The 24,240-nt window shown below is 41.8% G+C and overlaps 1 protein-coding gene and 1 long non-coding RNA gene across 41 annotated transcripts in view, besides 2 other annotated features; one reads left to right on the top strand and one right to left on the bottom strand.

The window, feature by feature from the left end:
* The first annotated feature begins 795 nt into the window (after positions 1–795).
* CNTN4-AS1 (CNTN4 antisense RNA 1) lies at positions 796–22,280 on the top strand. Its single transcript, NR_046554.1, has 4 exons — positions 796–874; positions 18,928–19,028; positions 20,787–20,896; positions 21,559–22,280. It is a non-coding gene; the product is annotated as a CNTN4 antisense RNA 1 (long non-coding RNA).
* The window catches only part of CNTN4 (contactin 4), a 959,094-nt gene continuing 938,835 nt past the window's right edge, over positions 3,982–24,240 (bottom strand). For all 40 annotated transcript variants that reach the window (XM_017005783.2, NM_001350095.2, XM_047447536.1 and 37 more), the window contains 7 exons: positions 22,938–23,008; positions 21,670–21,904; positions 19,519–19,631; positions 18,778–18,964; positions 18,237–18,349; positions 7,966–8,134; positions 3,982–5,821 (listed from right to left, as the gene is read on the bottom strand). In XM_017005783.2, coding sequence (XP_016861272.1) covers positions 5,721–5,821; positions 7,966–8,134; positions 18,237–18,349; positions 18,778–18,964; positions 19,519–19,631; positions 21,670–21,904; positions 22,938–23,008 — 989 coding nt within the window. In that variant the 3' untranslated portion in view covers positions 3,982–5,720. The remainder of the gene's footprint in view (positions 5,822–7,965; positions 8,135–18,236; positions 18,350–18,777; positions 18,965–19,518; positions 19,632–21,669; positions 21,905–22,937; positions 23,009–24,240) is intronic.
* Positions 22,629–23,828: an enhancer, noted in NCBI's record as "BRD4-independent group 4 enhancer chr3:3079797-3080996 (GRCh37/hg19 assembly coordinates)". NCBI's record gives its function as "activates an origin of replication core promoter dependent on BRD2, P300/CBP, MED14 and CDK7 cofactors, and independent of BRD4, by STARR-seq in HCT116 cells {active_cell/tissue: HCT116}" and the evidence as "EXISTENCE:reporter gene assay evidence [ECO:0000049][PMID:35650434]".
* Positions 23,285–23,394: an enhancer, noted in NCBI's record as "active region_19341". NCBI's record gives its function as "activates an Ori minimal core promoter by ATAC-STARR-seq in GM12878 lymphoblastoid cells {active_cell/tissue: GM12878}" and the evidence as "EXISTENCE:reporter gene assay evidence [ECO:0000049][PMID:35858748]".

Genomic DNA, 24,240 nt, shown 5'->3' with positions numbered 1-24,240 from the left:
GGGTTTCACCATGTTGGCCAGGCTGGTCTCGAACTCTTGACCTTGTGATCCCCCCACCTCAGTCTCCCAAAGTGCTGGGATTACAGGTGTGAGCCACCATGCCCAGCCCTGACTTTCTAATTGTCTATGTTACTTTGGGCTTCTTATATAACCTCTTTGCTTCCATTTCATAAATAAAAAAGGAATAAAAACCTATGTCCTCCCCTTATTAGTGTGAAAAGCACTTTGAAAACTAGAAAAACAAATTAAAGATATTACTATTTGTTAAAGTCCTAGGACATATATATTTCCTGGTATAGTTCGTGTTATTCCTAACAATAAGGATATGTGGCAAAAACCCAGTTTACAGAGAATGGGGATATCACATGTAATTGCATCTATATTTAAGTAGCTCAGCCTTCCAATTTCCAGACTTTCAGATCGATCATATGGTTGACCTTTTTTAAAAAAAGCTTTCTCTCTATGTGATCTATATCACTAGAGCTCTGCTAATCTACCATGGCCCATAACTGCTTGTGATAAAGGATAGAGGCCAATTTTGTTTAAACTGTGATCTCTGTTGAGTATTGTAGTTTGCAGGTGAGTTGCAGAGCTGGAACATTTAATCCGCATGGCCCATTTAGCACAAGGGGAAACGGGGCCTCTTTGCAGAATGGGCAGCCTGACTTGCATTTACTAATCACACTCTGGCAGGGGGCCTGAGGAAATCACAGGAAACGGGGCCAGATATTCTCCTCCCTCTAGGTCTGAGATGGAGGTGACACAGGCCTTGTGCCTGGGAGCACAATGAGGAACCACACCCAGATGCCAACGCTGAGGTGCCGTGTGTCTACTATAAGGCGGAAGACACCAACAAAAATGATTTAAATATAAGGTACGAAGGGATGACTGACATGAGTGGGTACAGACCCCATCCCCTGGAGGTCAGAGAAATGCAAGGTCAATTTCAGATGGGGAAGCTGAGGGAGGCTTTGTGCAAAACCTGGCATCTGAATGGGAACCCTACTGCCTAAGTTTGAATTAGTTGATTGTATGATTAAAATTATCGAACATTAAAATTTATATTAAGAAGTGATCATGTTTAAATAAAAGGTGATAATGGATGTGTCAGCTGAGTTCCACTCATTTTGGTGATAAGAAGCATCCACATCCTACATCTGTGGGTCTAGTAAAGTCCCTGGAGAAAAAGAACAATAACAGACGGTAAAATCATCACTGTTTGGAGAGCTTTACAAACTTTATCCTCCCTAATAAGTAGCCAATCATTACAATGCACCCCAGGCAGTCAAACTCCAGGATCCACGTCCTTAGTCTTTGTATTAGGCTGCCTTTGTAAGGCCTCAGTGTCTGGCATTTTGTAATGGAAAAATCTGGGGTATGTCCACAGATTGAATATAAGTCCTTGATTTTAAAGGCTTGCCTTTCAAAGCACTATGGTTGGCCACATAACGTTTTTAGCCAGAACATTTTGTAAATTGTAACAACAGGAAAATAACAGTCACTTCTTGATTATAAGTGTTAACGGAGGAGAACAGTAGCATCGATAATCCAATGTAGTGAACAAAAATCACCTGTTGGTTGATTACATTAGATTAAAAACTGCATGACATTTTTGTTGCTAATTATGTGCTATTTGTATACTTTTTATAACTCAACATTCTTTGCGCATATTTGTAGTGAGGCAAGGTGGTGGAAGAGACTGGGTAAAGGTTAATCAGGATTTAACATTGCCTCCTGGATATAAACAACCACAATTTTGATGGTGGGAATAACACAATCATTCTTTCTTAATATCAAAGTCTATGCACCTTCTACCTCACAGGCTGGAAGAATTCAGAGCTTACCTGAGAAATGAAGCTTATCATCCATGTCTTCTGTGCCCATGGAAAGGTGCTGCTTTGTATGTAGCATGTGTGGGCTCCATAGAAAGTAGGTACACTGAGAGAATCCAAATATCTGGCACAATAGAATTTCCTTTCATACAGTTAAATCACAAGTGGACTACACACACAAAAAGGAGGGCAAGAGTAAGCACTTTGAAAGGTTAAACAAGCAAAGCAAATTTTCCTAGTGGTCCTCCTTCAGAAAAAAATCTCAAGCAGCAATATAGTCATTCCACTCGAGTGTATTACTTGGGCTAAGGGCCTAAGAAAGTCCCCTTGGCTGGCTAAGCCTAGAAAATCTGTTACTTATACCAACCCAGCATTTCTTCTCTTACCTTTGGAAAACAGCATCTTAGTTTTCCTTTAACTATCCCTCCCCTGTGAGTACAAGGTACTCTGGCTGTGGAACTCAAATGGAACTGATCACTTTCCCAGGAATCTGAATATTGAGCATAATGGCGTCAAAATTGGAAACAAAGCTGATTCATCCCCACAATAGCACCCCAAAAAGACTTTCCAAAGTTCCCATTGTCTGGACCCACAGAGTGGCCTGGTTCTTATTCTCCTCAAGAGTTGGTCCTTCAGTGTTTCCTTGGCTCATATGATGTAACCTGTGTCATTCTAATTCCTTACTTTTTGTTTGCTCAAGTTACCCAGGGTCGTTTCTTTGCTTACAGCCAGTGGACCCTACCTGAGGCAACCATGAAAGCCAACAAATGAGACAAGTTTGGGTGGAGGTGCTCATGGGGCACTTTCTAAAACATCTTCAATTCAGTTAGACTCAACTAATCCAGGACCTCATTTACCCGATGATGAAGCCAATTGGTCAAAGACTTCTTCCAGGTACAAAGTTAGAAGCCAGGCCTTTTAACGCTTTTCAGCACATAACGAAAGTAATGACACAGTCTTCCCTGGTTGGTTTGCTGTGGCACACAGGCAGGCAACTGATGCAAAATGCTACTTCAAAGACCCCTTCATTCAATTAATCAGTGAGTATTTATTGCAAGGCACTGTGCTAGGCACTATGGAGAGTACATGGAAGATAAGACCAAAGTCCCTGCCCTCAAGGAGCTTACAATCTAGTTGGGAAGACAAGCCATACATACAAGAAAAAGTAAGTAACAATACAGGAGTTAAATTAAAATGCAAGATAACAGTACAAGAGATTTCCAAAAGTAGTATCTGATTAATTACTAAATGAGCAGCATTGATAGGGGATGCAACTACTTCCAAGCGAGAATGTCATAAAGGACTGAAGCATGGGAAGTCTTTGCAGACAAACTGGGGCTGGAGCTACCCTAGGACAGCAGGGATCTGAATGGGAGAGAAGGGTGGAGAAGGCATTTCAGGAAGGGGCAGCCATAAGACCAAAGGCACAGAGGTGAGACCAAAAGCAAGCAGTGTTCAGGGGTCAGGGAGGGCTTACTGTGGCTGGATACACAGTTAAATCGTTTTGGATTAAAAAGGGCCTTAAGGGCCGGGTGCGGTGGCTCAAGCCTGTAATCCCAGCACTGTGGGAGGCCGAGGCGGGCAGATCACCTGAGGTCAGGTGTTTGAGACCAGCCTGACTAACATGGTGAAATCTCGTCTCTACTAAAAATCCAAAAATTAGTCCGGTGTAGTGGTGGGCGCCTCGGGAGGCTGAGGCAGGAGAATTGCTTGAACCTGGGAGGCGGAGGTTGCAGTGAGCCGAGATCGCAACATTGCACTCCAGCCTGGGTGACAAGAGTGAGACTCCGTCTCAAAAAAAAAAGAGCCTTAAATGCTCAAGCTTAGAACTTACCCTTTTAGCAATGGGGGGTGAGGGAAACAACAGATATACTTACAGTAAATATACAAAAGACTTAGCTAATCAAGAGAAAATATTCAAGTCTCATCTTCAGGACATTTACTTGTGGATTAGGACCCTCTCTACTTCCAAAGAGGATTTGAAATGGTGCTTCAGGGTTGTCAATTCCAAAGGAAAAGCTCTGGGTCATCTAGATTTGGGTAGAGACTTTTGAGTCCCTCTATGATCCCAAATTATAACTAGCACAAAGGTAAGCTAACAAATTCCCTGACAGGCAGGCAGGAAAAATGCTCCCGAAAGACAAGTATCTTTACAAATGACAGAATATTTATTAACAATACCTTTAAAAAAGATTACATATGCTAGATCACTGGTAAATATCATTTACACTGGGGTTGGGAACTCCCTGGGTGTCATTTTTTTTCGTTCATTTTATTATTTTGCTGATTTTTTTTTTGCATGTGATTTTAAATTTTATTTCAACATAGAAGTAACCATATCAAACTAAGAAAGGAACACAGCTTGAAATACTGACAATATTTTTTTCCGGTTACCACCCTAGTTTTTACACAAATGGAATCCCGATTATGACTTTATTGGATAAATATAACTAGAAGGTTGAAAAGTTATATTATTTGTAAGCAAAAATGACAAACTATAGCAAATTTGAGTTCTCTGAGAAAGAAGAAAAGGTGGCAGCATGTTTACATGAGAAAATGTTTATAGAAAATTCCATTGCCTTTTATGTCACTGTCCAGTAGGGTTTACTCACAAAACCTTTCTCATTGTAACAAATAGTTCTTTTCATAAGAATACAGTTTTGTTGATATTGTCATTTTCCAATGTGTGATTTTAAGACCTAGAAGGTAAAGCATATAAAGCAACTAGGCTACCTATTGCAAAACAGAATCATCAAGAAACCATACAATTGTACTAAAGAGCTTTTATAGAGTCATATTAAAAATTCTTGCAGCAACTATTTGTTGAAATAGGAGCAATCTTCCAAAGTCCATATGTAATTTTGATTCAAAAGAAGGGCTCTATTATTACAGAGATACACATATTATATATAAGAAATTTTGTAAAGAAATTACGAATCCATTGACAGAGAATTACTTTTTTTAAATTTACATTCAAAATAGATACAGTTAAAGATAATAAAATGATCTTTTATCCTTTGAAAGACTTGGTTGACTATAGTAACTTTGGGTCTATGTTACTACAGGATATATGTTACTTCAAATTTAATGTCTAAGATAATGCTACCACAAAGACAATGCTAACTCAGTTGAGTGAAAAGAAAATCTTCCTGTACAATGCTAAATTCAGGGATGGGAATATTGCACAAGGTGCCTCTTGGGCAGTACATTGAGCTTTTGAGATTGCAGCCATTCCTGAAACCATCTCAAGTTGGGTTGAACAACAAAATTCACAACGGCATGAAAACATACTGTACATGTCAAAATCACAACGGCATGGGAAACATACTGTACATGTCAAGTGCATTAACCACTAGAAGAGTAGTTTGCATACAACAGCCTTGAGTTACGGACCAAGTCTTCCGCTGTTCTGCCATGAGATCCTTGTAAAACTGTACGAGTAATTTGCAATTTATTTACCAAGATGAGTTTCAAACTCTGTCTTTAAAGGAAATATTTTCAAATTATAATTGCATGATTGTGTTGCCCATAGCATTTTACAGCCGAGGAAAAAATTAATATCTACATTATATGTTAACTTTAAAAAATTCTATAAAACACTAAATATATAATAAAAAATATGCATATAAGGACATATGTAAACTGCTTTGGTAACATCATATTACAGATGTCTTCAGTGCATTGCAGAGTTTCCAAAGAAACTTCAGACAAAGCTAGATTTGCTTTGAGGAAGTACTGTATAATGCCATTCCTAAAGAAGCAAAAAACATTTTTATTCCAGTAATAAGATGTACTTGAACAACAATATTACTTAGTACTGGGTGTCTTCAAAACAACTAGCTAAATGTTGCTTATATTATAAACAGCAAGTCCTTCAGATAACTTTTGTCATAAACTGGACCTAGCTGTGAGGGAAATCATTATTGTACTGATGGCTGACAGCGTACATGCATTCGAAGTGGAAGCCCCAGATCCTCTCGCGTAGGCATCTGAAAAGAGAGAACAAATTCACTCAAAACAGCCCCATCCCGGCTTCAAAGGGAAGAGGGGCCACGGGGCTTTTTGAAACAGCAGAACTGCATGGATTCTACTGGAAATGATGATCAAGGTCTTAATGGCTTTTAAATATCAGTTCTATGACTACCAAGCTACAAACCTGGGAGTAGGGTATAGGACAGCCCTGTACCTCTGTCAAAGCATTTGTAAAGTAAGGAGGTTCCTATCTAATGTGAGAAGAAACTTCAATATTACTAGTAACAATACTGATAAACAGCATGCTATGTCGATGATTCAACAAAATGAAAATTGCTGCTCCCTTTTGAACTCTATCTTTCTGCTGGGCACAGATGAATATGACACTTAAATCTTGCAAAAACTGGATGAAGGCCAGGTATTATTATTACCTCGCTTAACAGATGGCGGTAATTTGCGCCCAGAGAAATAAAGTAACTTATCTAAGATCACCCAGCTAGTAAATGGCTAAACTGGGGTTCAAACCCATGTCTGTCTAAATCTACCCCTTTTCTGCAAACAAAATAGCCTCAATCCTTTTTTAAATTTTCTTATGGGTCTTACACTTTTCATAGTAAGAAGCTATCAACTGTCATTCGGGGGTTCTTCAATCTTGTAAGGTCTCTTTGACCAACATGATGAAAAATCTCTTGAAACAGATCATGTTTGGTTCACAGTCACTTCCTTGTTATCTAATAATTACACCAATATAATTGCTTAATATATGTTTTTGTAATGAATAAAACCAGGAATCATCAGTCTATCTAAAAATGTCAATCCCTGCAATGATAAGAAAGTATGAAGTATAAAGTCAGATTTTTAATGAAGCGAGATAAGCCCCAATCTTGTATTTTTGTGGCCTGGAGATTTTACTTCCACATCTCACCAAAAATCTAGCTCCCTTTCGATAGAAGTTAGAGGCTTTGTTTGATAAAGTATAATCCAATTGTCCCCCTTTTAAGACAAAAATGCCTTTTGTGTTTGTATGCAAAAAAGATGCAGTAAATATAAACTCCATCCAGAAACACTGGCATATCACCCCTTAGCAGAGGGATGTCACATGGCTAAAAGTCAGGATGGTGGTGAGGATTTTGTCCATAATTTAAAATATCATCTTTTTACCAATGTCTTGAAAATTTATACCTCCAGCCTTCACTGCTCCCCTAATCTCCAGACTGAAATCTGAAAGCCTGTGAAAGTCTACACTTAGATATCTAACCACAGTCTTTTTTTTATTGCTGTAAAATACACATAACAAAATTAGCATTTTAACTCATTTAAAATGTACAAATCAGTGGTACTAAGTATACTCCAGTGTTGTGCAACCAGCACCACTCTCAAGCTCCATAACTTTTGTGTCACCCCAAATGAAGACCCAGTGCCTAAACCCCCATTCCCCACTGACCAGCCACTGCCAATCACTAGCCTCACTTCTGTCTCCACGGATTTGGCTATTTTGTTTTTTTTCTTTAAATAAATGAGATCACACACAACAACAAAAAAATCATGCTCTTAAGATACTTACAAACATGGTATTTGTAAAAACAGAATTGAATGTATTTGCTCAAAAAGAATATGCTATTCTCCCATGCTATTCAACAACATTTGAAAGTGAAGATAATCTTGACTATAGAGAGACATACACATTGATGCACATGTTGCATATACCCATTGAAAATAAGTAGTAAATTCCAAATATTTCCAAGATACTGAACTGCATACACTGTTTCACTGGAGAAAAACTGCTACGGCATACTTAACAATGCTTGTCCTTGTTCCTTCTGACTGAGTCAATGCTTTTCACTTTCTAAACTGTAATTCTGGGGCTACAATAGATGCAATGCAAACTACACAGGTTGACACGGAAAAACCTTAGTGACTAATTCGGGTCTGCTTTAATCTGATTTTTGATTAGCAACTGAGTAGATCAGTCAACACGGGCAAACTGATTTTTGCATGAAACTGCCTATGGCCAGCAAACATCTGGAGAAGGGGGGTAGTGTTCTCCATTTCTATTTTAAGTCTGCTTTTGCAGGCTGAATGTCTTTCAAGCCCTGACTCATCTGGAAGGCTGATAAGATAAGACAGGCAGGAGAAAAGGGAGAAAAAAAGGCATTCTCACTTGATATCTTTGGAATTCGAATTTGTTCACTGCTGCTGCCATCTCCTCCGTCGCTGAATGGCTTAATTTCTATTATATAATCTTCATCGAAAGGCAAAGAAAGCTCCACCGATGTTTTATTTGTTTCAATGACAGATGTGCTGCTTTGTCTGTTCCATCTGTACAAGACCTGCCAATACAGAAAGAACAGGTGTCACCTGCCGTCTTCACAAAGGTCCCAAATATGGAGCATTCATTTGTTTTCACCTCTGGGCACGAGCAAAATGCAGGGATGTAGAGGTTGTCTGGCTGCCCACTTGCATTTGGAAGGCTCATTTGCAGTGAGGGCCATGACTGCAGCTACCATTTTATTCCAAGGAAAGAGCTGAAAGGATATTATATCAGGGGCATCAGCAACGTGATTCTACCTACTGCCTAGCCTCTCGGAGGCTCAGTTGACACTCTTGGGAAAGTGGAAAATATGAGTAGCTCCTTAAGGATGTACAGTGCTCAGTTACACATCGGTGCTTTGGCATCAGAATAAACTTGGCCACTGTGGGATCACAGGCCACTTCACCTTTCAGAGCCTCACTTCAGTCATCTGTAAAAGGGGGACAATAATACCCAGTCTTCTGGAGTGTGTTTTCAAGATTGCACAAGGAGGCTGGGTGCAGTGGCCCATGCCTATAGTGTCAGCACTTTGGGAGGCCAAGGTGGGTGACTCACTTGAGGCCAGGAGTTTGAGACCAGCCTGACCAACATGGCGAAACCCTGTCTCTACAAAAAATACAAAAATTAGCCAGACATGATGGCACACACCTGTAATCCCAGCTACTCCAGAGGCTGAGGCAGGAGAATTGCTTGCACCCGGGAGGCAGACGTTGCAGTGAGCCGAGATCAAGCCACTGCACTCCAGCCTGGGTGACAGAGCAAGACTGTCTCAAAAATATAAAAATACAAAAGATTGCACAAGGTTTGAATCTGGTGATGGCCTAGCTTAGAGGAAGCATGTAAGAAATAGTATCTCTGAAGGCTTAAAGATAATCAGAGAACATACATGGCAAAGGTTAGAGCACAAGCCAGGCACAATAAGTTATGATCACGACTCTTAGAGACAGGACATTTCAGCACAGGGAGAAGATATCGGAAAGGCAAGAGTAGTAACCTCCCATTCCTTTCCTCTGGAACCCCACTTTATGGGGCTAGGTAGCCAAGAGGCAACCATTGTCACCCTGGACATATCTGCAGCTTGCAACAGTCCTGTTTTCATCTTGGGCCCCCCATGGGTTCTGAGTTTGGAGGTGGATTCATTTGATGAGGTGGCCAACTAGCCTCCTAAAAACACATTCACTTACCTGGGATTGCCTGCTGTGATTGGATTTACTCCAATCAGGAACAAAATATACAGGTCTGGGAAAGTGTGCCTTTACCTATAGAACCACTAAAGCTCATCCTCTGTAGTTTCCCCTGACAAAAAGATAGGGTTGGATGAGGTCAGTGGTTTTTGGTCCTGGCTGCATGTTAGAACCATTGGGGTGCTTGTAAAATACTTATGCTGTAGCTCAGTGGTTTTCAACAGGGTGGGAGGGGCAGGGGAGCAATTTTGCCTCACAGGGAGGTATCTGGCAATGTCTGCAGACATGTTTGTCAAAACATGTCCTCCTGTTGTAGTGGATAGAGAGACCAGGGATGCTGCTGAACAGTCTACAATGCACAGAGCAGCCCCGCAACAAAGAACTCTCTAGCTCAAAGTGTTGACTGTGAGGAGGTCAGTAACCCCGCTCCAGTTCCACTCTAGCCTGCCTAAGACTGCACAGAGGTGGGATCCATGCTGTAGTTGTTTTCTAAAAGATCATCAGGAGATGTTAATATGGGATAGGCATCATGATTAGATGAATTAGACGCGTAGTTCTCAAATTCAAGCGTGAACAGAATCACCTGGAGAACTTGTTAGAACACAAATTGCTGGGCCCCATTCCTGGAGTTTGTGATTAGTTCTGGGATGGGACCTGAAAATCTGCATTTCTGACAAGTTCCCAGCTAATGCCAGTGCTGATGGTCCAGGGATCATGCGTTGAGAAGCACGAGATTAGCTCATCCTTCCCTAAGATCCCTTATAAATTCTGATCTGCTGAGGCTACAGACATAAGGTCACTCTTGTGTCTCAAGACAAAACCAGACACAAGTGAAATTCATAAAATTCCTTTAGAATGGTTTAGAACCCATCTGTTCCCTGGCATTTCATCACCTTAATTTATATCTCTCTAACACAAGGTGGAAAACACAATTTCCTTAAGGTAGAAAGATTCATAAGTGTCCCCTTCTTCTCCGCAGCATCAGTTGTATCAGACCCAGCATCCCCTTGCTGATGATTAGGCACAGATAAATCCTCAGGCACATTCAGGAGTGTCAAAGCTTCTCATCACGGCCCTCCAGGAGAATGGGCTGATGGGATGCAAGGTCACATCTGGCTTTGAGGAATAAATTGCTGCTTTGATTTACCTCTGGTCCTTGCAAGAGCTCAGAGGATTCAACTTGTTTCAAATATAAATCCAAAAGAAACACTTCCAGGAAAAAGCAGCACTTTTATCAGCACTGCTTATCAGTCTTGCAGTATTATGGACTGCAGCAGAACCCAAATAAAGTCCTGTAAAGCCTTTATTTACACCAAACACTTGCTTGAGCTGATTGAAGGCTGTGCTTGCATTTGATATAATCTAGGGTGGAAGACAAGGGGAAAGAATGGATTTGTGGGAATAATGATAATAGCAAATATTATAGACTACTTCCACTATTTAATGTCTGAACACTGTGTGTTCTAAATCAGGGGTGTCCAATCTTTTGGCTTCCCTGGACCACACTGGAAGAAGAAAAATTGTCTTGGGCCACACATAAAATACACTAACACTAATGATAGCTGATGAACTTTTAAAAAATTGCAAAAAACATCTTACGATGTTTTAAGAAAGTTTATGAATTTGTGTTGGGCCACATTCAAAGCCATCTTGGGCCACATGTAGCCTGTGGGCTGTGGGCTGTACAAGCTTGTTCTAAATGCTTATGTGGATAACCTCTTAAGGAAGGCAATGTTATTATTCTGATTTCAAAGATGAGAACTTGAGATGTGGAGATGTGAAGCAATTGCCCGGTCTCATGACTGGTAAGTGGCGGATCCTGCATTCAAACCTAGGCAGTCTGGCTCCAGAGCCTGGATTTTTTTTTTTTTTTTTTTTGAGACGGAGTTTCACTCTTATTGCCCAGGCTAGAGTGCGATGGTGTGACCTCAGCTCACTACAACCTCCGCCTCCCGGGTTCAAGCAATTCTTCTGCCTCAGCCTCCCAAGTAGCTAACATTACAGGCATGCGCCACCATGCCCTGCTGATTTTATATTTTTAGCAGAGACGGGGTTTCACCATGTTGGTCAGGCTGGTCTCAAACTCCTGACCTCAGGTGATCCACCCACCTCGGCCTCCCAAAGTGCTGGGATTACAGGTGTGAGCCACCGTGCCCGGCCTCAGAACCTGGATTTTTAACGAAGACTACCTTGGCTACCACCTGTAGGGCTCTGGGCAAATTGCTTTCCCTCTCTGGCATCTGTCTTTGGGAACACAAACCAAGGGAGTTAGACAGCAAAAAACTAGTGGCCCATGGGTCATAACCAGCCTGCATATATTATTTGTTTGGCTGTCATAGTGTTATTTTTTTTGAGTTAGACATGAACATTTAAAAACCGAGAAATTAGACATTAAAAATTTGTGGGTTCTACTGAAAAACTGGAAGATATGGCCACACTGGTTGCTATGCTTTGGATGCTTGTCCTCTCCAAAACTCATGTTGAAATTCGCCATTTTAACTGTATTAACAGGTGAACCTTGAAGAGATAATTAGGCCATGAGGTGATTAGGCTCACCCTCACAGATGGAATTAGCACTGTTGTAAAAGGGCGAGTCAGCTCTCTATCCCTCTCCCTCCCAGCACTGGGTGTCAATAAACTTCTGTTCATATTAATTGCCCAGTCTCAGGTATTCTGTTCCTGAGTAAGACTCTACAAAAGTGCGATCCAGAATAAAATAGACTAAGCCAGTGATCTATATTCCTGTCTGCCAACAACTGGTTGGAGTTGAGAAGTCTCATTCTGAACAATCACAAACTCTGCAGTTGGTGATAGTCCCAACACTTCCAATGTTGCTACATTGTCACATGCCTACCTCTGGACCTTTGCACTTCCTTTTTTGCAGTACTTGGGACATTCCCAGAGAGGTGCCAAGGCCCAACTGAAATCTCACCACTTAAAAGTGGCTTTCCTTGGCCTTTCTATAAAATAATACATCTCTCCTGTCCACTCCATGGCTTTCTCTATTCCCCTCACTCTAGCCTCTTTTTCTCTGCAGTACTTTGTTATCACTTATTCTATTTATTTATGGCTGGTAGGCAGAAGCACCAAGTGGCTAAATGTAGAACTCAGGATCCATACTGCTGTATTCGGATCCCAGGTCTTCAACATACCAGCTGTGTGAAAGGCAAGTGACTAAACTCTATGCCACAGCTCTTCATCCGTAAAACTAGCAATAATAACTGTACCTATCTTCATGGTTATTATACAGTTAAGATGAGGCCAGGCATGGTGGCTCATGCCTGTAATCCCAGCACTTTGGGAGGCTGAGGCAGGCGGATCACCTGAGGTCAGGAGTTTAAGACCAGCCTGGCCAACATGGTGAAACTCCATCTCTACTAAAAATACAAAAATCAGCCAGTCGTGGTGGTGGGCGCCTGTAGTCTCAGCTACTTGGGAGGCTGAGGCAGGAGAACTGCTTGAACCCTGGAGGCGGAGGTTGCAGTGAGCCAAGATTGTACCACTACACTCCACCTTGCGTGACAGAGGGAGACTCTGTCTCAAAATACAACAAAATAAAATATAAAGTTAAGATGAATTGGAACAGTGCTTAGTAGACGTATTAGTAGTAGTTTCTGAATGGACTGAACAGAACTCATTTATGTTATCTGCCTGGCCCTGCAGGTAGTTTAATTTGTGATACTAAAACCAGATGCTCTCCTTTTAGCTCTAATGCCATAAAGTAGCTTAAGGATTTGTGTTGACAAAATATTTGGGGCCTTAAACTTTCTAAAGTCAGCTTCTTGTTGAGACTGTCTACCTAAGCTGAGATCTAAAGAATTCAGACAACTTAGTGAAGAAGGGAAAATAAACCCACACCCCAACATGTTCAGTATTTGGGAGGAAAACTTAATTTTGGAAAGGGTCAGTCTGAGATAAACAATAGCCATATTTAATGGGTCAAATTCTCTAGCAAAGGTCAACTCTTCCGTTGCAATCAGATCCGCTTTTTATTCAGCCTCTAATCTCACCCTAAAAGTGACACTAGGGAGAGTTTCCTGAGCTATCATGGGACGTGAGATATCACGGGAGGTACCACACATACACACACACAAATACACACACACACACACACACACACACACAGAGAGAGAGAGAGAAAGAGAGAGAGTTATTCATTGGTACCTTGGTAATTCAGGGAACTGGCTTCAGGACCTCCCTAAAATACCAAAATCTGTGGATACTCAAGTCCTGGATATACAATGGTATAGAATTTGTGTATAACCTAAGCATATCTTTCCGTATACTTTAAATCAACTTTAGATTACTCATAATACCTAATATAATGTAAATGGTATGTAAATAGTTGTTATACTGTATTGTTTTTAAAATCTGTGTCATTTTCATTGTATTTTTTTGTGTGTTTTTTTTCCTGAATATTTTTGATCCACATTTGAGAGTATGGAACCTGTGGATACCTGTAGCTTTAAATTATGTATCTCTAAACATTCACATGTATATGTAGCAATTCAAAATGTATAGCCAGTTACAGTGACCTTCCTTGGGGTGTAGTTGAGGAGGTGTAGGGTGTCTGGCTCTTCCAGTACCACTCCTAAAAAGAAGGGGGAGTGACTGAGCTGGAAATTAAGAAGAACTCAGAAAGTGTCCTTTCCTACCATCTGGTCTAACCCTGTTACCCACTCTCAAGGGTGGTGATATCCCCTTGATCATTTTTTATTGCATCTATTTGATTCTTCTCTCTTTTCTTCTTTATTAGTCTTGCTAGCAGTCTATCAATTTTGTTGATCTTTTCAAAAAACCAGCTCCTGGATTCACTGATTTTTTGAATGGTTTTTTGTGTCTCTATCTCCTTCAGTTCTGCTCTGATCTTAGTTATTTCTTGCCTTCTGCTAGCTTTTGAATGTGTTTGCTCTTGCTTCTCTAGTTCTTTTAATTGTGATGTTAGGGTGTCAATTTTAGATCTTTCCTGCTTTCTCTTGTGGGCATTTAGTGCTATAAATTTCCCTCTACACACTGCTTTGAATGTGTCCCAGAGATTCTGGTATGTTGTGTCTTTGTTCTCGTTGGTTTCAAAGAACATCTTTATTTCTGCCTTCATTTCGTTATGTACCCAGTAGTCATTCAGGAGCGGGTTGTTCAGTTGCCATGTAGTTGAGCGGTTTTGAGTGAGTTTCTTAATCCTGAGTTCTAGTTTGATCGCACTGTGGTCTGAGAGACAGTTTGTTGTAATTTCTATTCTTTTACATTTGCTGAGGAGTGCTTTACTTCCACCTATGAGGTCAATTATGGAATAAGTGCGATGTGGTGCTGAGAAGAATGTATATTCTGTTGATTTGGGGTGGAGAGTTCTGTAGATGTCTATTAGGTCTGCTTGGTGCAGAGCTGAGTTCAATTCCTGGATATCCTTGTTAACTTTCTGTCTCGTTGATCTGTCTGATGTTGACAGTGGGGTGTTAAAGTCTCCCGTCATTATTGTGTGGGAGTCTAAGTCTCTTTGCAGGTCACTCAGGACTTGCTTTATGAATCTGGGTGCTCCTGTATTGGGTGCATATATTTTTAGGATAGTTAGCTCTTCTTGTTGAATTGATCCCTTTACCATTATGTAATGGCCTTCTTTGTCTCTTTTGATCTTTGTTGGTTTAAAGTCTGTTTTATCAGAGACTAGGATTGCAACCCCTGCCTTTTTTTTGTTTTCCATTTCCTTGGTAGATCTTCCTCCATCCCTTTATTTTGAGCCTATGTGTGTCCCTGCACGTGAGACAGGTTTCCTGAATACAGCACACTGATGGGTCTTGACTCTATCCAATTTGCCATCTGTGTCTTTTAATTGGAGCATTTAGCCCATTTACATTTAAGGTTAATATTGTTATGTGTGAATTTGATCCTGTCATTATGATGTTAGCTGGTTATTTTGCTCGGTAGTTGATGCAGTTTCTTCCTAGCATCAATGGTCTTTACAATTTGGCATGTTTTTGCAGAGGCTGGTACTGGCTGTTCCTTTCCATGTTTAGTGCTTCCTTCAGGAGCACTTTTAGGGCAGGCCTGGTGGTGACAAAATCTCTCAGCATTTGCTTGTCTGTAAAGGATTTTATTTCTCCTTCACTGATGAAGCTTAGTTTGGCTGGATATGAAGTTCTGGATTGAAAATTCTTTTCTTTAAGAATGTTGAATATTGGCCCCCACTCTCTTCTGGCTTGTAGAGTTTCTGCCAAGAGATCCGCTATTAGTCTGATGGGCTTCCCTTTGTGGGTAACCTGACCTTTCTCTCTGGCTGCCCTTAACATTTTTTCCTTCATTTCGACTTTGGTGAATCTGACAATTATGTGTCTTGGAGTTGCTCTTCTCGAGGACTATCTTTGTGGCATTCTCTGTATTTCCTGAATTTGAATGTTGGCCTGCCTTGCTAGGCTGGGGAAGTTCTCCTGGATAATATCCTGCAGAGTGTTTTCCAACTTGGTTCCATTCTCCCCGTCACTTTCAGGTACACCAATCAGACGTAGATTTGGTCTTTTCACATAGTCCCTTATTTCTTGGAGGCTTTGTTCGTTTCTTTTCATTCTTTTTTCTCTAAACTTCTCTTCTTGCTTCATTTCATTCATTTGATCTTCCATCACAGGTACCCTTTCTTCCAGCTGATCGAATTGGCTACTGAAGCTTGTGCCTTCGTCATGTAGTTCTCGTGCCATGGTTTTCAGCTCCATCAGGTCATTTAAGGACTTCTCTACATTGGTTAGTCTAGTTAGCCATTTGTCTAACCTTTTTTCAAGGTTTTCAACTTCTTTGGGATGGGTTCGAACTTCCTCCTTTAGCTCGGAGAAGTTTGGTCATCTGAAGCCTTCTTCTCTCAACTCATCAAAGTCATTCTCCATCCAGCTTTTTCCATTGCTGGTGAGGAGGTGCGTTCCTTTGGAGGAGGAGAGGTGCTCTGATTTTTAGAATTTTCAGTTTTTCTGCTCTATTTTTTCCCCATATCTGTGGTTTTATCTACCTTTGGTCTTTGATGATGGTGACGTACAGATGGGGTTTTGGTGTGGATGTCCTTTCTGTTTGTTAGTGTTCCTTCTAACAGTCAGGACCCTCAGCTGCAGGTCTGCTGGAGTTTGCTGGAGGTCCACTCCAGACCCTGTTTGCCTGGGTTTCAGCAGCGGAGGCTGCAAAACAGCAAATATTGCTGAACAGCAAATGTTGCTGCCTGATCGTTCCTCTGGAAGTTTTGTCTCAGAGGGGTACCTGGCTGTGTGAGGTGTCAGTCTGCCCCTACTGGGGGGTACCTCCCAGTTAGGCTACTCGGGGGTCAGGGAACCACTTGAGGAGGGAGTCTGTCCATTCTCAGATCTCAAACTCCGTGCTGGGGGAAACACTATTCTCTTCAAAGCTGTCAGACAGGGACATTTAAGTCTGCAGAGGTTTCTGCTGCCTTTTGTTTGGCTATGCCCTGCCCCCAGAGGGCAAGGAGGCAGGCAGGCCTCCTTGAGCTGCAGTGGGCTCCACCCAGTTTGAGCTTCCAGGCCGCTATTTACCTACTCAAGCCTCAGCAATGGCAGGCGCCCCCTCCCCCAGCCTCACTGCTGCCTTGCAGTTCGATCTCAGACTGCTGTGCTAGCAACGAGCAAGGCTCTGTGGGCATGGGACCCTCTGAGCCGGGCATGGGACCCTCTGAGCCATGCATGGGATATAATCTCCTGGTGTGCCGTTTGCTAAGACCATTGGAAAAGCGCAGTATTAGTATTAGGGTGGGAGTGCCCTGATCTTCCAGGTGCTGTCTGTCACAGCTTTGCTTGGCTAGGAAAGGGAATTCCTTGACCCTTTGCCCTTCCCAGGTGAGGCGATGCCTCGCCCTGCTTCAGCTTATGCTCGGTGCACTTCCCCCACTGTCCTGCGCCCACTGTCCGACAAGCCCCATTGAGATGAACCCAGTACCTCAGTTGGAAATGTAGAAATCACCAGTCTACTGCGTTGCTCACGCTGGGAGCTATAGACTGGAGCTGTTCCTATTTGGCCATCTTGGAACTGCCCACGTCCATCCTTAGCTTTTAAAAGGGCTGGCAGCTTCTGCTTTCTTCCTCTTGAAGCTGACAACTATGTAAGAAATCCGACTACTCTGAGGTCACCATACTGTGAGGAAGCCCAGGTTATCCGTGGGGAAAGGCCTCATAGAGAGCATGATCACTGGCCAGCCTCAGCTTTCCCACCTATCCCATCCAAGAAGCCAAAAGTGTGTGAAGAAGCATCTTAGTTATTCCAGCCCTAAAATCTGTCCATTCTGGCCCTATCCACATTGCAAAGTCATAAAAAATGATACACTGTTGCTGTTTTAGCCCCTAGCTTCAGGTTGGTTTGTTAGGTAGCAAATAGGTAGCTGGAAACGTTGCAAGATATTTATAACCCTTTTTGATTGCTGCAAGAAGGCTACAGACATGTTCTTTTCATTTTCTCATTAAAGACAAGCCAACATTTATGGGGTCAGGCAAACATTTTCTCCACTTTTCCTGCTTTTTCTCTCTTTTCTCTTTTTCTTTATATAACTCTTGACTATAGAAACATACGAACAAAAATGATTAATCATTGGTAATATCAGGAGGCTACTAAGTTGACTAAAAAATATATATAAACCGAGACAGGAGCAAAACGAAGCTGACAGTAGGAATGTTTAAAAAGTGGTTCTTCAGGGTATTTTTGGAGACCCAAACACAGGGTCTTTATCCATTTCTGATTGATGCTGCCTGAGACTAAAGTTAAGGTGATTGTCTAAATCCTGACCAATTGCCATAGACTATTTATACAACTCAGATCAAACCGTGTTGGAGGCAGCGATTCCTAGAGGGTAGGAGAGCATCACCAGGGAAACTGACAATGCAGACAACTGTATAATTCATGGAGGAGACTGCCCCCACTCACAGCACGATTAGGTGCCTTTGCAAAAAAGAAATTACCTACTTTGTATCCTTTTACTTCCGACTCATTATCCAGGGCCTTCACTTGATCCCAATTCAGGATAATTTTGGAGTCTGATGAATTCCATATGATGTTTCCGGGGGGTTGACTTGGTGCTATAAAAAAATTAAGATATACGAAGTCACAGATTATTAAGTCTCAATGGATTCTGAGGAATATCTCCTTACTAGAATTCGAGAGTGGAGGCAATTTAATGGGCTATTGCACTAATATGTGTCTTCAAGGTCACTAAAATCTGATGAGATACAGCATTGCAAATGGAAAAAGATTCAGTTGGTCGCCTAACATTTATAGCTAAAAGAAGTAGCCCTTCCCAGTGAGGAGAAAAACATTTATCTTTCTGTCCTCCACAGCAATGAATTTTGCGTGGTATACGGAAAGGTTCAGTTAAAATGCTGAGGGAAATTTGAATCCACATGCTACTAATTAGTATGCAAATGATCATTGGGAGGTGGGGATAAGGAATAAACTTGGGATATGTGTGATGAATCCCCAAAATATTTCTGAGCAAGTCTGTTCTTACGTGGCTTTCGGGTTGTCACATTGACTGTTGCACTAGAGGGGCCTGTCCCAGCAGAATTATATGCCTTGACAGCTAAGTGATACAGCACACTGCCTTTTAAGTTCGTGATTTTTGTTGATGTCTGATTTCCAACTGTTCGTATTTTTCTAGCATTTTCTTCTTTGTCTTCATGTCTCCAATATTTAACCTAAGAAGATAAACAGAAAGACCTTGGAAACCATACCCAATGGGGATATTTGCAATGTCATCAGGTAATTTTGTACGCAGATTCTTATGATGGAGTTAGTTTTCTATACTACATCATGAGCAGAGCTATCAGGACAAAGGACTCTGTATATCCTGAGAAATTATCCAAAGTAAGAAGGGTCCCTTTTTTGTCCTTAGCTTCCTAGTGAGACGGTACATTGACACAACCGTCGTTCATTATTTTCTTTTTTCCCATGTTTGTTTTGAGTCAAAGTGATCCTGGGCATATCAGAAGTCAAAGCTCATTTTGCCAACCATCCCGTAAATGCTTAGATTTGCATATAATTCGAAAAATACCTCTAGAATATAACATAGAAAAAGGGTAGTCTCACAGCTGAGTATTCAATGCTTCCATTAATGTTCAGCTGGAAGCCAGGCCTAAAACCAATGCCTCTTAGTGGGAATGTGGGTCTCTTCCTATAAGAATGTGACTTGGAGGACTTATCAAGGGGCATAGACTCTCTTTCAGACCCAAGGCACATATGTCTTGCCTACCTCATAACCTTGTATTCGTCCTCTATTCTTCTCCAGTGGGGAGGCCCAGAAAACTTCAATATCTGTGGCAGAAAGACTTCTGGCAAAGATACTGGCTGGTGGTTTGGTGGGTTCTGTAGATGAATATGGAGATAGTTATTACTCTATCAGCTATATTAGGACAGGATTGTAGATACTAGCATTATAAGGTAAAATAATTCATGGTTATAGAATCGTCCTTAATGATTGTAAGCCAAACCCTCATTTTGCAGAGGGGCAGTGATTAATAGCTGGAGTTGGTGGTAGTGAATATTTGTCCAGTGTTTGGGTTCTGAATTTAGGTGTGGGTAGAAGAGAAGAACCACTTAAGTTTAAGCACCAAGTTTTCATAGCCAGCAATTCCCTTAACACAGATCCTTCTTAATTAGCATCTCACAAATGTTATTGCTTACGACATGGCTAAACTGCTTCTCTTTTTCTTTTTTGAAATAGGGTCTCACTCTGTCACCTAGGCTGGAATGTAGTGGCACAATCATGGCTCACTGCAGCCTGACCTCCTGAGCTCAAGCCATCCTCCCGCCTCAGCCTCCCAAGTAGCTGGGACCACACACACATGTGCCAACACGCCTGGCTAATGTTTTTTTGTAAAGACTTGGATCTTGCTATGTTGCCCAGGTTGGTCTCAAACTCCTAGGCTCATGCTATCCTCCCACATCCCCCTCCCAAAGTGCTGGGATTACAGGCATGAGCCACTGTGCTTGCCCACTAAATTTTTTTTAAGGAAGACTATTGAAAGAAAAATGTGAACATATACAAATGGTACACAGCTATGGCAGAAATCTGGCAAAAATAACTGAAATTTGGGAAACAGTCAGTCTAGCCTCTCCTTTGCAGCCAAAGATGCTGAGGCCCACAGAGTATACCTGAGTTATCCAAGATCATACAGATTGCAGTGTGAACCTGAAGTGTCATCCAGCTCTCTTGAATCTTAGTCAAGTCAGCTGACTGTCCTTTTCCCCTTTTCCTCTCATTTTCATAATCCAGAGACATGAACTATTATCTAAGAGAAGTTGAAGGCTATGAAAAGGGCTGAAGCTTGTTTGAATAATTGTAAATCCTTTGGCAATGGTTGGAACATGAAATATGCAGGGAAAGGCATCAGCAGCTGAGGCAGACAGAGAGGCAGCAGCTAGATCATGGAGGGCTACTGAGTCTAAGGGGATGATCTCTCTGATTGGGAATAAGTTATTGCATCTTCACTGACTCTAAATCAATGATTCACCTTTCAGATGTTTTAACATGGTCCCATTCTGAGCATCATCTTTAAAACAACATAGACGAACTCCAAAGGTAACGAAGACTGTGTGAGAGGCATCCCGAGAGCAGGGATAGCATGGAGGTGATAATAATGTGTGAGAAATGTTAAACATAATGATGGTGTGGATGACAGTGAGCGCAATCACACTGCTTCATGACTTACTCTTTTCTTTAATAAGTGAGATTTTTTTTTTTTTTTGAGATGGAGTTTTGCTCTTGTTGCCCAGGCTGGAGTGCAGTGGTGCGATCTCGGCTCACCGCAACCTCCGCCTCCTGGGTTCAAGTGATTCTCCTGTCTCAGCCTCCTGAGTAGCTGGGATTACAGGGATGTGCCACTACAACTGGCTAATTTTATATTTTTAGTAGAGATGGGTTTTCTCCATATTGGTCAGGCTGGTCCCGAACTCCCAACCTCAGGTGATCCACCCGCCTTGGCCTCCCAAAAGTGTTGGGATTACAGGTGTGAGCCACAAGTACCATATGCTTTATGAAAATACAAGTGGTAAGAAAATGCAAATTATATTTTGATATTCACTTAAAGGCAAAAATAAAATTCTTTTGAAAGTAATGATAACATATAGATAGATATGAAGATCTTATATGGTATTTGCAATTCTGGTCCTTAGCAATGGAATCAATAATGGACAGCCAAGTGTTTTCATATACAGAGCAGTCGCTATCTTTTCAAGAGATTCATGGTGGACAGCGAACCAAATTGTTTACATTATCCTCTTCTCAAATCAGGTATGCCTTCAAGATACATGTACCATGCGAAATTGATTGTACGTGCTACAATCCACATTTTAGAATTGAAGAAATATTAACAGTCAATGATCTAGGCAGCATAAACGATACCTTCTTCTGCAGAATACACCACCGTGGTGGGACTGAAAGGGCCTTCTCCTTTGTTGTTGAAGACACCTACTTTAACCTCAAAGGGAGAGAAGGGGTGCACGCTCTCATTCCTGAACACGTATCTAGAGGCATCAGCTGAGGCCAGCACTGTCAGCATCCAGATCATTTTACCGTAGGGCCGGAAGGCCACCACATAACCAAAGCCTCGACCATTCTGTAATTCCTCAGGGACCGTCTGGGAAAGAAGGAAGGTGGTCTTCAGAAATCACAGTAGTTTCACTCAAATGCAAAAATCGTTTTTGTTTCCCTTGTAACATTCTTGTCTACATCCTTCTCCACCCATCTTATTTGGCGTTTTGTTAACAGTCTTTTAAATTTAGGGCTTGCAGTCAGTCTATCTTAAACAGTTATGATGTACTGGACAGGGTTGAAAACGTAATGAGGATCTGCAGTCCAGAGCTTGCTCTTTGATGGGGCAGACCCAGCTCTGAAATGGTTGGAAATGATTGTAAAAAAAAAAACACTGGACATCGGTCTCCTGAAAAACCACATTTCCAACACGTATCCTCTAATACTAATCTTCTTCCATTGCCAAATAGACAAAAGATCTCACTGAAGGAAGAAAAACCATCTTGGCTGAAGATCCTCCCTCTCAGAGGGAAGAGTTCAGCTGGAGGGATGAGTGATTTCTTTCACTGCTGTGCTTTGGGTAAATGAGAGATTTTAATTTCTGGGGCTGTTTAGAATCTTTCAAAAACATGAAGAACCCTTTCTAAAGCTCCCACCTCTTCTCTCAAAGCCAATTTTTAATAAATTGGTGACTAACTTTCCTCCAGGTTGTTTTAAAAAATACCTCCTAAAAGAGGGCCCCTTCTAGAAGCAAAGCCAATTGCCAGGAAATTGTGCTGGTGCACTGAATCTATTGCTGGCAGACGTTTTAAATCAATTGGCCATGCAGCAATTCAGGAAGAAAAGAAAAACTAGTTTTCTCTGAAACAGCCTTCTTTATTTTTTTTTGTAACGTGTGTTGTCTTCCCTTCATAATTGTTTTTACTGTGATGGATTGAATTAAAACTTGCCTCAACAATGGATGGGCAAGTGCCGTCCTTCCTGCTAGCCATTAGCTACGTGAGAGGGAGTGTCTGAACCCAAATGAATTTTCACTGTTAAAAACAGAGGAGGAAACTTCCCAGCTATGTCTAACATGGAGGAAAATAATAAAATAGCTTCGATGCGTGTACGTTCCTTTTATTCTGTGATTCATTTACCTCCCAGGTTATAACCAGTTCAGATTTGCTGCCTCCGCCACCACTGACATTCGCTGGTGTGACTTCGGGGACTGCACAAGGAGACAAAAAACAAGTTATGTCAGGCGGCAAAGGCGAATGAGGGCCAGGAAGGTTGCCTGGCAGAGGTGACTCACTTTCAGTGAGTACTCTGAGGCACGCCCCTTTGTCTCTGGAGATCAGCAACAGCATTGTCAAGGGGCCCACGGCGACCGCTCGAGGAAGTGAAATGTACCAAGGAGACTGCTATTAATTACCTGTTTCCCATTCAACAAGGCACACGTGTTATCTGACACGTCTGACCAATTGTTCAGCTCCATCCCTAGAGGCCGAGGGGTTCCCGAAGGGAGGAAAGGACTGAAGTCTGGTCCTAATGTTTGGTTATGCGTTTATGAGCCACGTGGAGATACACAAAGGGAAGAGTACAAGCTCTGCCCAGGCAGAGCTTACAAGCTGGTTGGAGTGGAGGAGCGCCTGCACCAGTTAGAGCAAGGTCGACAACCAGGGTAAGGAACAGTCAGCATGGAGAAGCGGGGGGCGTTCCGGAGTAGCGCCCTGCTCAGAGCTGGGGTGGGCGAATGGCTTCTGGGAGGAAGAGTTTTGATCTGAGTGTTGAAGGAAGTGGCAGACAGAAGTTGACCCCCGGCTCACTGAGCTTAACCTCTTTGATCACCAGTTTTCTCTATAAAAGAGAGGAAATTATGCGAGCTTCCACCTCAGGATTGCTGAGGGGAATTAATTCAATTATGGTTTTGGAAGGGGAAAAGAAAGCAGGGGACTAGCTATATTGTCATCACGTAACTGAAAGGCTCCGGGCCACATTTAAAAAGGTCTCACTGGGGTATGTGGCTGGTGACTGGGTATGTCTCCTTGGTTAAAGCCAATCAAATAGATCTAGATGAGTTTTTGCTTTTCTGAGAGTAGGGTCAGAACTCCTATTTGTGTAGGGACCTTATTATTCCTTCAACACACTGGCCTCTCTACAGGCGGGAACTCTATAAAAGACGGCACATGTAGGCCTCTTGCTTTACACCAGCTAAGTAAAAGTACGGCTGACCCTGATGAACTTGTTCTTCTCTCCCCGTGCTCATTCAAGCTGCATATGCAGAGGGCCATACTGAATTGCTGACTGGTCTTGTTCGAATGAGCACGATGTTCTGAATCTTCGTTTCTGGGAATGGTTTATACCCTAAGAAAGATAATCTAAGTGAACATTTCTGAAGAAATTATTTTTTATTTCTATTCTAAACAGGATTACCCCATGGTGGCTGTGTCCAGAGCAGTC

This window comes from Homo sapiens, chromosome 3, assembly GCF_000001405.40.
Source record: "Homo sapiens chromosome 3, GRCh38.p14 Primary Assembly".
Lineage (NCBI taxonomy): Eukaryota > Metazoa > Chordata > Mammalia > Primates > Hominidae > Homo > Homo sapiens.
This window is presented reverse-complemented; position numbering and strand designations above follow the sequence as displayed.